The 15398-nt window shown below is 41.5% G+C and overlaps 1 protein-coding gene and 1 long non-coding RNA gene across 2 annotated transcripts in view; one reads left to right on the forward strand and one right to left on the reverse strand.

Moving 5' to 3' along the window:
* Window positions 3167-15398, reverse strand: part of SLC6A4 (solute carrier family 6 member 4) — a 41379-nt gene continuing 29147 nt past the window's right edge. Inside the window, exons 14-15 of the mRNA NM_001045.6 lie at window positions 12020-12187; window positions 3167-7378 (exon numbers count right to left, since the gene is read on the reverse strand). Of these exons, the coding sequence (NP_001036.1) occupies window positions 7304-7378; window positions 12020-12187 (243 nt within the window). The 3' untranslated portion in view covers window positions 3167-7303. The remainder of the gene's footprint in view (window positions 7379-12019; window positions 12188-15398) is intronic.
* On the forward strand, window positions 11850-15360 carry LOC124903970 (uncharacterized). The gene is made up of 2 exons (XR_007065699.1): window positions 11850-12384; window positions 13167-15360. It is a non-coding gene; the product is annotated as an uncharacterized LOC124903970 (long non-coding RNA).

The following is a 15398-nucleotide window of genomic DNA, read 5'->3' on the forward strand; positions in this document are numbered from 1 at the left end:
GTTGGGTTGGAATTGGAGATATTGGTGTGACCTCATGGTTTTTAAGATAGAGAAATAACTATTAAATGCAAATTATGTATACACTTCTATCCAGTGAGAGGGCTGAGGATCAGTGACAACTCAGTAGCCATGAGAATACCTAACACCCAGATCGTGGTTTCTAAATATGCTCTTGACTAAAAGGAACCAGGGCTTCTTGGAGATATAGCTGATTTCAGAGCTGTGGCAGAGAAAGTACAAGCTGGTCCCGAAACATCTCACTCTGGAAAACAAGGAACTGTTCCAAGAATGATGGGGACATGTCAAAAGCACACAGAAACCAGCTTGAAGGGACTCTCACTGGCTAAATATAGGAAAAATTGAGCATCAAAATTAATAATGGGGGCAGGTGCTGTGGTTCATGCCTGTAGTCCCAGCACTTTGGGAGGCCAGGGTGGGAGGATTGCTTGAGCACAGGAGAACCGCCTGGGCAACATGGTGACACCCTGTCTCTACACAAAATACGAAAGTTAGCCAGGCATGGTGGTATGTGCCTGTGGTCCCAGATACTCAGGAGGCTGAGGCAGGAGAATCAGTTGAGCCTGGTCGAGGCTGTAGTGAGCTGTGATCACACCACTGTACTCCAGGCTGGGCGACACAGCGAGACCCTGTCTCAAAAAAATGAATGAATGAATAAATGAATAAAATTGATTATAATCCATTGGATAAAACAGGAATCTATTTTTAAAAATAAATGGATTGATGAGGACAGGATATTTGCACAGTGTCAGAATAACTCCATCCCCCAAAATATTAATGACAAAAAGAAAAGGAACTTTATAGTGGAAAGCCCGGTAGACACCACCTTAACCAAGTGATTGAAGTTAACATCACCAGTGAGGGGACAAATCAAAATCATTCTCCACCTGGTAGGATGCAGGGAAAACAACACAGCACCATTCCAGTGATAGTCCTGCCAGAAATACATAGCTTGGATTTAATCAGCAGGAATTGATCTTCAAACAAATCAAATTGAGGGACATTCTACAGAATAACTTGCCTATTAACATCAAAGGCTTCAAGGTTGTGAAAGTCAAGGAAAGACTGGAAAACGGTTCTAGACTGAAGAAAACAAAAGAGACGTGAAATTAAATGAAAATGATTCTGGACTAGATCCTTTTTCCTAAAGATCATTGAACAGGGTCTAAAGATGAGTTGACAGTCATGCAGCAGTGTTACTTTCCTAACTATGATGGTTTAATTGTGGTTATGTAGGAGAATGTCTTCATTTGTCAGAGATACATGTCTCATTTTCATTTTTGTAGTTAGAATCTATAAGATATATTCTACTTTTTATTCAAGTCCATTTATTCAGATCTCAGCATTAACTATCCTCTCCACCATTTTACATATTGAATTTTTTAGTTTATAAAAACCATGTCACTGGGTGCAGTGGCTTATGCCTGTAATCCCAGTACTTTGGGAGGCCATGGTGGGCAGATTGCTTGAGCCCAGGAGTATGAGACCAGCCTGAGCAACATGGCAAAACTCGGTCTCTATTAAAGATGCAAAGAATTAGCCAGTCATGGTGGTGCATGCCTGTAGTCCCAGCTACTCAGCAGGCTGAGGTGGGAGGATCACTTGAGTCCAGGAAGTCAAGGCTACAGTGAGCCAAGATCACGCCACTGCACTCCAGCCTGGGTGACAGGACACTTTGTCTAAAAAAAAGAAAGAAAAAAAAAAGTGTGTAAAAAAAAATACTGGTAATCATTTTGAGATCTTTAGTTATTACTTAGTGATATGTTCCAAAACTGGAGCTGAGACTCCAAAGAGATTCCTGTAATTGAAATATTACACTTTAATACTGGAGTTGCCCTCTCTATAAAGCACTGACAACATTAGCATTTATTTTAAATAATAGCAATATCCCTGGAAAAGCAGCAGGACCCAGAGTGACCACTAAGCCTTAGTGATAATAAATGGCATCTCATAACTGGATGCAACAGTTATCTCTAATGAAGCCTAGGATCAGATTTGTGGCATACCAACAGCACATGTGAAAGTCATTCTGGTGTGACATGTAGCCTCATTTCTGGTCCCATTTTATTTTCTCGCTCTTGTTTTTCTTTCTTTTTGTCACCCGTCTTTTGCTTATGTTATCCTTTATTTTGGGAATCCCTACCTTAATACCTCTTTAAACAAGTCAATGTAAATCAGATAATTTGAATCTAGTACAAGGATTAGATTTAGTGTGGTGATGGTAACTGGAGAGTCTTTAACTGTAGGGCAGGAGGTCTGTTAGGAACTGGACCACACAGCTCATTACCACCTGAACTTCACCTCCTGTCCCATCAGCGGCAGCATTAGATTCTCACAAGAGTGTGAACCCTGTCGTGAATTATGCATGCGAGGGATCTAGGTTGTGTGCTTCTTATGAGAATCTAATGTCTGATGAACTGAGGTAGGATAGTTTCATCCTGAAATACCCCTCTGCTCCCCACTATCCGTAGAAAAATTTTCTTCCATGAAACCGGTCCCGGTGCCAAAAAGGCTGGGGACTGCTGCTGTCTCTGGCTGGGGACAGCACACATGTAATGATATATCAGTAACAGGTTCTTCCCCTATGTTAATTATTCTTCCCTATCACACTTTAAAATGAGATAGAACATCCTTGCAGTTTAGAAAAAAACCCATTCTGCAGTTGAATACTCTTTGGATTTCTCAAGCCTCTATGGATGCTAATTTTAAAGCTAAACATGTAAATAACCTTTGGGCTGGAATTAGAAAACCTATAGGCATAAAGCCTGTCCTGGAACGTTCCAGGTGTGTGAACTTGGGCAAATCAATCAGCCTCTTTGAGCTTCAGGCTCTTCATCCCAGCCCCATCCTCACCTGGGAAAATACAGCTGTCACCTAGACTTCTGGTGATCCCATGAAATATATGGGGAAGAACATTATAAACTAAAGCTCTTCACAAATTACAAAGAATTATATTAACTTATTTAACTTTATGGAAATTGAATACATCTAATTCAATGTAGTTTTTGTAAGTGCTATGCAGTGATGTTTAGGGAGATGTTTAAATATTTTGACTATAAGGTTAAGATTTTTAACCTTAAGAGTTTAGAATTTTGTGTTTTTTTAATGATACAACAAATCATGATATTAAGAGTTATTACAGTAACAGTTCACAGCATAAATCATTTATTAATATCTCACAATCTAACTTGAAATATTTATAAACACTGCATAAATGAATACAAGGGCACTGTATGAATTTTAGAAAGGGGACTCTTTTATACAAATAAATTTAGGTTTAATTCTGCCAGATAAAATTAATTTTAGATATGTCCAACACACAATCAAAAGTATTCTGAAAAGTTGTATATAGATCAAATCATAGTTTAAAGGCCATTCACAAAATAACTGTAAATTCCCCAATTTTATCTTTTAAAATATGAATTTTTAATATATCATTTTCTTAAGATAAAGTACACCTTTAATTTTAGAGTGTAAATAAGAATAATCTTTCAAAATGCCATTTAAAAAATTAGTAAATGCTCATATTTGTTTATGATATTTAAGCAAAAATATGGGACATCCTTCCTCACCAAATATTTTTGTTTGGACTGTCAGTGTTTAAAAATTGCTAGACACAATTCTTATCTACTATAATTGGAGTCTTCAGTTACAGAATTGAAGGACTGATGCCATCTATTCTCTCCCCCAAACGACAAAATTCTTCTTAGTTCAGTAGACATTCAAACTTATTCTGACGAGGTCCTTCACCAATGCACACTGTCTCCAAATTAGAGTTGGCTGGTGAAGAAAGTTTATTTTAGTAGCTTTAAAAAAATACTTGCATTGGTGGTAGAGCAGCTTGGCATAGATTCTGTGAGGTGTTGGTAAGAGAAATACCACCTGACATTCCAACTGAAATATATTGTGAATCATTTTCAACAAAAGAGCTCTTCTGTTGCAAAGGTGACTGTTTTTGAAACACCTAATGTAGAAACAATACTGAATTGATTTCAACTATATGAAACAAAAGGACAGACATATTTAAGATTCCATCCTAAAATATTTATCTTTTCTATCGTGGTATTAAACCAATTGAGAGGGTTTTTTTGTTTTTGTTTTTGTTTTTTAGATGGAGTCTTGCTCTGTCACCCAGGCTGGAGTGCAGTGGCACAATCTCAGCTCACTGCAACCTCCGCCTCCCAGGTTCAAGTGATTATCCCACCTCAGTCTCCCAAGTAGCTGGGATTACAGGAGCATGCCACCATGGCTGGCTAATTTTTGTATTTTTAGTAGAGATGGGGTTTCACCATGTTGGCCAGGCTGGTCTCGAACTCCTGACCTCAAGTGATCCGCCCACCTTGGCCTCCCAAAGTGCTGGAATTACAGGTGTGAGCCATTGTGCCTGGTGGAGAGGGTATTATTTCACTCTAGCAGAGGAAATAAAACTCCAGTTCACCTGTCTTTAGCGCTCTCAATAACAGAGAAATTAGCTTGGTCCCCAGGTTTGTCTCTGCCTCTAATGGCATTATCTGACCTTTAAAATATTATTATCATTAAAATTTAGAGACAGTTAAGCAATGAAGTGGGGAAGGGGCAATACTATGGAAAATAGAAAAAGAAGACTTAAAGCTTCAGAATAGTCTTTCCATGGAACTAAGCATAACAATTTTTTTTTTTTTTTTTGAGACGGAGTTTCGCTCTTGTCATCCAGGCTGGAATGCAGTGGAACGTTTGGCTCACTGCAACCTCTGCCTCCTGGGTTCAAGCAATTCTCCTGCCTCAGCCTCCCAAGTAGCAGGAATTATAGGCGCCTGCCACCACATTCAGCTAATTTTCTGTATTTTTAATAGAGACGGCGTTTCACTATGTTGGCCAAGCTGGTCTCAAACTCCTGATGTCATGTGATCCTCCCACTGCAGCCTCCCAAAGTGCTGGGATTACAGGTGTGAGTCACTGCACCCAGCCTCTTGGGTATTTCTTACTGATACAAGAAAAAAAACTTCAGTCCTTAAATAATGTTACAATTCAATTCTATTTTTAGTTTTTATTTTTCTATAAATGCTACATATAGATATAAAAGGTCTTTAAAATATTATTTTAAAATCCACCTACCTACTCTTAAATTTTCTTTAAAAAAAAAAAACCCCATCATAGTATTGATAAATAGGGGTCAAATAAATGCATACTATGCGGAACAGACAGAGATTTTCGATTTTTTTTTTTTAGTTTAATAAAGTTTGAAAACTTTCAAAGCTCCTGTACAATTCCATTAATACCAGACTTGGCAAAACGCTAATTCTGTTTGAAAAGGTGTTTTTTTAAAAGTAGTATATTTGAACAATGTCTAAGTATGTGGGGTGGGGAGAATCCATATCCGAATATCTTCATAAAGCAAGTTCTTAAAATTTGCAAAGCTATTAGGTTAGTGCAAAAGTAATCATGGTTTTTCTTTTGCACCAACTAATATTTACCACTGAACACGCTGGCATTTAGATCACTTCCTTCTTTCAGCATGCTAGACAGTAAAGAGAATGGGCATGAGGTGGCAGGAAGAAGGAAAGAGTGAAGATAATGGAGTTAGGTCAGTGAGGGATATTTCCTAAATTCCCCACTTCTTTTCCTCTAGCAGTTCTGGGAAACTTCTCAGCAGCTATCATATAAGGAAAGTATCTCGCTAGGAGAAGCAAAGAATCAGAAATAGCAGGGCATGGGGAGAATGCAGGAAGTGGGCCAGGGTAGACAATGCTGGGGAAAGGAGGCCAAGGGAGGAAAACCTAGAATTGGACAGGATGTTTCCTCTGCTGTCTGGACCTTCTTTTTATAAGGTTGTTAGAATTAAATTTCATTTATACAGAGAACTGAAGTGATAGGTGGCCAGATGATTAAGTCCTTTTGTCTCTGATGAGGATTTATTCCCCTCAAAATTCTGATAAGGAATTCCCATGCTGCAAATATTAATTTGCTCCTCTACCTACGCCTCTGAGAGTCACGAGACACCAAAGGCCAAATTTACTTATCTATATTAAGGGCCTTATGTGAAATGAAAGGTGATTTACTTAGCTGACCATTTCCCAAGCAGCCTTACTTAGACTCAACCTTAAAAATTATCTGGAGGGCTCACAATCGTGACCGCCAGCGAGCGGCGAGGTCCACGTAAGGCTAACCCAGACTCTCCAACTGCTCTTGGAGTGAAGATGCCTTGGTTTAGGTTAGGGTGCCAGATCTGTATAACCCAGTGCTAAACGAGAATCCGATTTACCCTCCTCTCTTCACCGAGCAAAGCAACCTGGACAGTCAAACTCAGTCACGTAAGGCAGACAGAACTTAAACCAGAGGGCCAGGTGAACACTGAAGGGGCATGTGACAAGATCCACCTTCAACGTACTTCACAGCCAAGCCATGGTGACTAATGAAATAGGCCAGATCTGCCTGTGGAACACTGTCCTGAATGTTTAGCACAGAGAGACAGGAAGGTGGCAATGAGGTGCAGCAAACGCCAGAGGCTGGCCTGTAAAGGAAAGTGTGTGGCTCAAGTAGTGTCACTGGAAAAGGAGTGGGTGGCAGAGCATGTTGTAGTGATTGTACCCTTCAAATAATAACCTCCATACACAATTGAGTTGGTAGAATTTGTTAATGTAAGAAAAATTTGGGGAATTCATATATTTGTAATGGGCCCAAAATATTGGACTAGAGATAAGAATACACTGAAACAACAATATACACAGACTCACAAGCTTGCATGGACACACTATTTTTCATTTTAGCTTCTTACATCTTCCTTTCCTGATGCCACAGCAGCACATGGATTAGAAGGTTCTAGTAGATTCCAGCAATAAAATTATATATGCTACTCAGAAAATATATGGCTAGCGAGATAGCATCCCTGTTCTCTCCTACGCAGTTTACGTATTCATGAACAGTGAAACCTTTAGAAGCAAACAGATATCAGATACCAATGATCATACCAAGAAATGATACAGGAGACTTTCACAGACTTGATTCTAAACCTAATCCTAACTGATGATAGGGTGGTTTTCATCACCTCCATCCACATCCTCACACGTCCAAAATAGGCCAGCTCAGCTGTGTCACAGTCTACCATGGGAATATGTCCAGGGGAATCCATGGAAATAAGTGGCTGGAGGCCTTGAGTCTGGGCACCAGACTGTGTCCCTGTGGAGAAGGCCCTTCCATCATCAGGCTTAGCTGGAAACTCATTCACTTGGAGGGGAGAAGGCAGGCGTGCCTCATCAGAACTGGAGGAGGAGGTTGTGGAGAAGCCTTTTTCCTCTCGGTGAGTGTGTTACACAGCATTCAAGCGGATGTCCCCACAAGGAATTTCTGTTGGTGTTTCTGGGGTAATACTTTTAATAATACGCTATTGGGAAGAAAATACAATGTTATAAACATCCTTGTAATTTTTAAAACTTGCAAAAATAGTCAACATTAATATTAAAACAAAGCTTAAATAACACTTTAATAACATCTAAGAGCGAGTTGGAATAGTCTCACTGACATTCCTTAGGAAAAGAATTCCCAATTTATGTATTCTCAAATATGAATTAAAATGGTATATTCAGAAACTATACACATCTGTAAACTAAGAAAATCATTATAACACTAATGGAAGAAAATGATGAGCCTTCAACAGAATCTCTGCTGGCCAATAACATGCTTTTGAAGGACTTGGGAAAGGGTACCCTTTTCTCTGGACAGAGGAGACTTCTGCGGCCACAAAGGGCTTGGGGAGCAGAGTAATTGCTGGGTTTTGGCCCCCATCCCCTCACCCAGGCTCCTTGTCTCCTGCAGACACACTGCAGCCATACTGCCCAGTGCTATCAGCCACTGTAACAGCCAGGATGTTACTAATTTAATGAATTCACCTGTAAAGCAATACTGGTTAGTTCATATGAGAGTATAAATTATCACATAGTTAAACTGTAAAAGATGCGATTATTGAAATCATCACTTCTAATGCAACATTGTGTTGATGTAGTACTCATCACAGAGAAGTGGCTGAGAAGGTCTACTATAGAAACAGCTGAGGTACACAGAAGCTTTAAGATGGATCTGAAATATACTTGGGCTTAGGTGTGAAATATACAACTGGCCTTGTAAAACTCAGCATCAGAGTGGCAAAAAGCAGCTCAGGGATATAGAGGAGAAAAAAAAAAAAACAGCCACACTGCAGAGGCTTTGAAAAATCTTTATTAAGTTGCTTAATAAAATCTTTGTTGGCCAAAAGTCTGTATGTATCATAAGCAGACAATTTGGATCTGAAAGCATCCTTTGATTTACTGATCTTTAGGTGAAGTTCTGCCCCTGTCATTTTTATTTTGGACTGAAAATGTCTGGAGTTGCCTTCAAGCTTTTCTATTTTCTCATTCTGGGAGTTTGTTCTTTAAGAAATAGGGCCTCTATAATTCAAAAAGTTCCAGTCCTACAGTTAATGAAATGCACTATAGGGCAAAATGCACAAAATTGCACATTTTGTGCTCCTCATGACCTTAGTATCTGTGTACTGAACTTTCACACTAGAAATCCGTTTAAAAAGGAGTCATTGCAGGGAGTTTAAAAAGGAGTCATCCGTTTAAAAAGGAGTCATCAGCTACCAGAGCATGCCGAGTCACGGAAAGCAACTTGTCAGAAACCATGCATTCCCACAGACTAACATGTGAACTATACCTGATTAAACAGAATTATGGCTTGTTAGTTGAGAACTAGACAGAGATCACTATAACGAGTCCTTTTTTTTTTTTTTTAAGAGTCAGGGTCTTGCTCTGTTGCCCAGGCTGGAGTGCAGTGGCACAATCATGCCTCACTGCAGTCTTGAACCCCTGGGCTCAAGGGATCCTCCTGCCTCAGCCTCCCAAGTAGCTGGACCTACAGGTGCATGGTACGATGCTCAACTATTAGAACTTGTCTTAAGTGGAGCTATCACCATAGCTCAGAGAGAGAAGAGATCACCGAGGTGTTTGGTGGGGCAAGGCCCGCAATGAACGACGTCATAAAGTCAAACACTTGGTTTTTGTGCCCTTACCTACCCACATGGGCTGCTGCCCTGTTGGTGACTGACCACCCAGGATGCCAGGCCCACGTCTGTTTTCCGTGCTTTGCCAGCATTCTAGTTGCCAGGCTACCGTTGTGCTGGAAATTTGCCAGGCCCTGCCTGGCCTTCTGCAAGATGATAACAAGTTAATCTAAGAAATGGATTCCTCTTCATATCTTCATAAACGTGTACTCATTAGGGACCATTTTCCAGTATCTTTGGGTGGATTATTAGTAGTTTCTGCAAAAATGACCTAAGCCAGTGGATGACTCCAACCGCAAGACTTCCAGACCGTGGGTGTGTATGGTACCCTTCAAATTACACCAGTAAGCGGTGGCTCACTCCACAAACTCCAACCTTGCATATGGCCAGGGCCCAAAAGGATTTTATATGAGGCTTCCCTCCCTCACACATAGAAAGTTACAGACTAGCAAGTCTGGTATTCATAAAGAATTGTGAAGAATTCTAGACCTTTGGCAAAAAACACAGCATGCTTTATTCTTCTCAGAGATTAAACATGCACATGGGCATATTAAAGTTTTTTTGAGAAGTCCTCAGGTAAACAAACCTGTTTATTTACTTATTTAATTTTTTTGAGACAGAGTCTCGCTCTGTTGCCCAGGGTGGAGTGCAGTGGCTCGATGATCTCAGCTCACTGCAATCTCTGCCTCCCAGGCTCAAGCAATTTCCATGCCTCGGCCTCCTGAGAAGCTGGAACTACAGGTGCCCGCCACCACACCCGGCTAATTTTTGCATTTTTAGTAGAGACGGGGGTTTCACCATGTTGGCTAGGCTAGTCTCGAACTCCTGACCTCAGGTGACCCATCCACCTCGGCGTGCCAAAGTGCTGGGATTACAGGTGTGACCCACTGTGCCCGGCCAAGAAACCTGTTTAACTTGCCTTAGTCCAGCAGTCTCCAAAAATTACCTGACTACATAAACTTTTTCTCCAGCAGTAATACCTGTGACAGCCCCTGGAACACACTTTGGGAAATGTTAACATGGTCAAATGAGCACATTTGAAAGAGGAGGAAACCGAGGCCCAGATAAGATGAGTACCTGCCAGAGCCGACTAGGGCCTTTTCCATGGTCCTCACCGACAGGGGTGTATCACACTGCTTCCGGGTAACCCGCTGCTCCCCATCTGGTGGCCCCTCGTGAAGACGCCCTACCTACAATTAGTCTTACCTCTATTGCTAACAGACCTGAGCTCTGTTAGTGACACACTTTTGGGTGGCATTCCCTTGTGGCCAACTGGGGGAATTTGTGAGAAAGATGGCCAGGATCTGAGGTGTAGCCTGTGACTAAAGAATGACATTTATTAACCTAACACAGTTCCCACCTCCAACCTTGGCCTCTGGATTTGAAGCAACAGAGCTCATGGATCATCACAACTGCCAAGACAGATGACCGGAAGGAATGCGTTCAATGACTCTGGGTAGGAGAGTGTGCGGGAAGCAGCACGGGACCCAAGGCTCTTTAGGGGGAGTGCGGTCATGAGAGGGCTGGTTTGGCTGTAGGAAATTAGTAACTACGGAGCTCAGAGTTCTGTTCACCCAGAATACAGTTTTCCTGTTTCAAAAAAGAAATGAACGCAGTTGTTCTCAGAAAGGGCTGATATTTGGCCGGGTGCAGTGGCTCATGCCGGCAATCCCAGCACTTTGGGAAGCTGAGGCAGGAGGATTGAGCTCAGGAGTTTGAGACCAGCCTGGGCAACATAGTGAGATCTTGTTTCTATTAAAAATTTAAAAATTTAGCCAGGCGCTTGTAGTCCCAGCTAGTCAGGAGGCTGAGGTGAAAGGATCACCTGAGCCCAGGAGTTTGAGGCTGCAGTGAGCCATGATTATACCACTGCACTCCAGCCTGGGGTACAGAGTGAGACCTTGTCTGAAAAAAAAGAAAGAGCTGATGTTTAACTGCCTATGTTCTCTTGCTTCTCATTTCTTATGAAATGTCTTAGGATGACTATTGTGATGGACTCATGTCTAAATTTTGCGTAAGATCTCAAATTAGCCCACCTCCGTTCTCAGGCTATTATAGATTATGCTGAGTAGCTGGGACTACAGGCACGTGCCACCATGCGCAGCTAATTTTTGTAATTTTAGTAGAGACAGGATTTCACCATGTTGGCCAGGCTGGTCTTGAACTCCTGACCTCAGGTGATCCACATGCCTTGGCCTCCTAAAATGCAGAGATTACAGGTGTGAGCCACTGTGCCCAGCCGGAAATAAGGAAACTTCGAGCAGGATTATTCCCCACCTCAGTGTCCTTGTCTGGTAATAATGCCTGCCCATTTACCTCCCAAGGTACTTTGATAACAGAATAGGATAATCGACATGCAGATGCTTTGAAAATGGCATTCATACAAATTGTAAGGTACTGTTATTAACATTTCTACAGCGCATTCATTACCGAAATGAATCTTGCTATCCTGGCAAAACATTTTTACTCCAATGGCTTGAGCTAAAATCATGCTATTGTTAGATAGCTAATAATTTTGATCTAAAACTATGATACTGTTGCAACATCCTTATTTTGTGATGATTTTCAAAATAATACTTTTCACATTGCTGTTAGAAAAGTGACCATGGACATTTCCCACCATAATTGCCACTTAAAATTTGTGTATTGCTCCAGACATCACAGGTCTGATATCCATGCCCAGTGGCAAGCAGGAGGCAGGGTAGTTGTCTGATAAGTTTGAAAACCTATGCACAGCCCAAGCTGAATGCTCTGGTGCACCCAAATGATCAGCTCACTCTTTTGCCCTTGCATTTGAGGCTTTGGGAGATGCCTTAAGATAACAGTGACAGCCATTAGAGGTCTTCGCCATGGCACAGGTACATACATATATAGGGTTGCATGCCTCCTGGTGAATCTCATTTTGAATAGAGCATAACAAGATAATCCTTTTCTCCCAAAACAATTAGTAGTCTGAACACACACATATACACACTAACTAGCACGTACCTCTTTAAATGTCCCTGGAGTGATGATCAACCGATAAGCTATATATGTGGGGATGCAAATGAAAGATGAGGTTCCTATGCAGTAACCCAAGATGATACTCCAGTAAGGATAATTATATTGGAAAAGTCGTAGTTGTGGCGGGCTCATCAGAAAACTGCAAATGATGAACTAAAACAGAAATTCCAAGAAACATTAAAAACCTTAACAATATCCACTCAGATAGAGATGTTTCCGATACCACAAACACCAAATGCTAAAGCTAAGATACTTTCAGGAAATTCCCAAGATGTGATATATCCTGGATTGAACTCTGACACACAGAATTACCAACTTCTGTACCCAAGCTGCAAGACTACACCAGCCAGGTGCTTTCCCTGATTTTCCTCCCCAGCCCTCACTTCCTATAGGGGGATGTTGCAGCAGCCCTACAGCTGCCCCTACAGTCGGGGCTGAAGCCTGCAGCTCCCACTTCAGCACAGGCCTCTGCCCAGGCAAAGAGACTGGCAACCTTGAGAGTAATTTGGGCCTTGTCTTGCCAGAAGGCAGAGGAATAAACTGGGTGACCTCTCCGCAGCCCCCCGCCAGGCCCCAGGCTTCATATTTCTCTCTGCTTTGTTTTCATTGCCTTGCGTTTCTGGCTGTGGTTGTTTTTGGTCAGACGGAAGGTGCCTGATGTCCAGGAAAGATAAGAAGGTTCTCAAGACCCAGAGAGGACTCAGGCTCCTGGGGGTGTGTCCTTCTCCCATTTTCCTGAGCTCTCTGCCTTCTGCATTAAGCTGCATCGCCTGGAGTTTCAACAAGGATGGCTCTGCCACTAGGCATCTCAACAATGAATGTCTGCCTGCCACAGGTCCTCATCATGAAAGGAATTATGGAAGGAAAAATAGCAGCTTAATACACCTTTCACTTGAACACTCTGTGAGAATTTTGACCAAGAAAAATTCCACAGTGTGCTCCCAACACCCAGTTTATGAGTTTTCTTATTTCAATTTGGTTTCCAGATTTTGCCTAGTAACCACTGTGCCGAAATTGTTATTGCTGTTGATTTAATTTTATTTTATTATTTCACAGTCATAAAGAAGACAGTAATGTGAATTATTTGTGTGGTTAAACATCTATTTATATCTTTTTTTTTCTTTGTCTGCAGGTAATAAAATGGGAAATTGCTAAACACACATCCATCTTCTGAGCGGTGCTATCTTAAGTCTAGGTGGAAGCCTTCAAAACAGGAACCTGGTCAATTGCAAACCTTCCTCCTAACCCAGGCTCCTCATCCCCAGAGCCGGCTATGAAGAAAGATGGTTTGGGAACAGGGAAAGAAGATCTGGTTAGGAGCCATCCCGGCTGCTTGTCTCTTAATGTCAGGTGTGTGAAATCCCACTCAGTCATTGGGGGACTCAACCTCCGGTTGGGGCAAGTGCTACTTCAGAAACCCCCTCACACATCCTGGCCTCTACTCGTACACAATATTTTCTTTTTTTTAACTTGGCTGCAGTGAAAAAGAATATTTTTAGTAAGCTACTTGTTGTTTACCTAAAGCAGCCTTAAGAAGCCCAGAGCAGGGGATCTGTTAAGTGAACGTAGAAGTGGAAGACAGATTTGCCTCTCTCAGGCACTAGGGCACTTGGCTGTAGAGGGGTGAGTATGGCAAACATCATGGGAATTATGAGTAGTGCGCCCACATCCAAAGCTGCACGTGGGTTTTCCTGGGCAAAGAAACTCAATGACTGTGCATCAAGAGTGTACCCAGTCTGACAGCAGGAAATTGACAGAAACGAACAGCCCCAAGCCCCAGGGCACATGGAGGCACTCACCTCAGGCACGACATTTCAGCAGGAGCCAAAATCAAAATAAATAATATTTTATTACAATTTTTTAAAAGACAGGATCTAACAGGGCCAGATGAGGGTAAAGCGAGTGAAGTACGATGTACAAGTACAGGGCTGGCTCCTGTGTTTATTGAAAATGTTGATACTTTGTTAATCATGGATCTTTTTGAATTAATTTTTATTTTTAAAAAATATTGTGTGAAAATAATATTTATCCTGAGTCCTGAGCTCTTTGGTGCCTTCTTAAATTTTATACCCACAGTGAATGTTTCACTTGCCTTCAAGTCTCCCCTAGACATCATTTCCTCACTGCGTGGGGAATAAATATGGAAGTAAACAAACAAACAAACAAACATCTTTCTGCCCTCAAGGAATTAATCCAATGACTCTTCTTCCTTTGAAAAACAAATAAAAATATTTAAGTAGATTATTGAGAAGTACTGGTAATAATATAAATTAATAACCCATTTATGTCAGGGCTTCTGCTTCTGGTAGGATGGGCTAGGCGATTTCCAACAACCCTCTCACTGAAAACAACTAAAACTTCTGGATTTAAAAACACACGCATTTTAAATGTGCCTAAATGCATCAGCAAGCTGATAAGGTCATAAGGAGCTCCGAGGCCAACATCTCAGGAGCCCAGAGCTTGCACCAGAGTCACTGCAGCCTGGGAACATGTGCTGCTTGGTGCAAACACTGGCTTTGATTTTGGAAACCTCCAGGGTCTGGGGGAAAGGAAGTCAAAGAGGAATTCTGGGGTACAGAGAGACACATGCAGTGTCACAGAGACAAGAACAAGCATGTTGTCCATCATAGATAAGTTAATGTCAAGATGTGTGGGTACAAAAGAAGTACAAAAAATAAAGGGTTACCCCAAGAAAGTCAAAACACAGAATACAAAAAGGGCTGTTTTCATGTTTGTTTTTTGTTTGTTTGTTTGTTTGTTTAGACTGAGTCTTGTTCACGTCCTGCTAATTTTTGTATTTTTAGTAAAGACAGGGTTTCGCCATGTTGCCCAGGCTGGTCTTGAACTCCTGACCTCAAGGGATCCACCTGCCTCGGCCTCCCAAAATGCTGGGATTACAGGTGTGAACCACTGCACCCAGCTGTTTTGAAAGGGGACACAGAACAGCTGGATGCCAAAGAGATGTCCTAAAACAAAATGGGATAGCCCATATACTCCTAATAGGCTGGAGGTGGACTGAAGGAAGAATCTAACAACATTTCTGGCTCTAAAAGACAAAAAAAAAAAAAAAAACACAAAAAAAACAAAGTTACAGATAAATGAAAGAACTGAAGAATAGTGCCTGCTGGTGTGCATGACATCAGTTTACCCCAGGCTACTTCAGCACACACTTGGCAGGCCAGCAGGCTGTTATCCATCTTGGACAGGGGCACGTGAACCAAGGACAAAGTGAATATTGAACACATCTCAACACGTGGACAACCCTTGGGACTCAACTTTCTCACCCAGGTCCTTTGGTAATAAATGGATTCTACTTTTGACGTGGATTTTTGCTTAGAGAGCTTTGTATCATCTTGAAGAAGAT

This window comes from Homo sapiens, chromosome 17 (genome assembly GCF_000001405.40).
Source record: "Homo sapiens chromosome 17, GRCh38.p14 Primary Assembly".
NCBI classification, from domain to species: domain Eukaryota; kingdom Metazoa; phylum Chordata; class Mammalia; order Primates; family Hominidae; genus Homo; species Homo sapiens.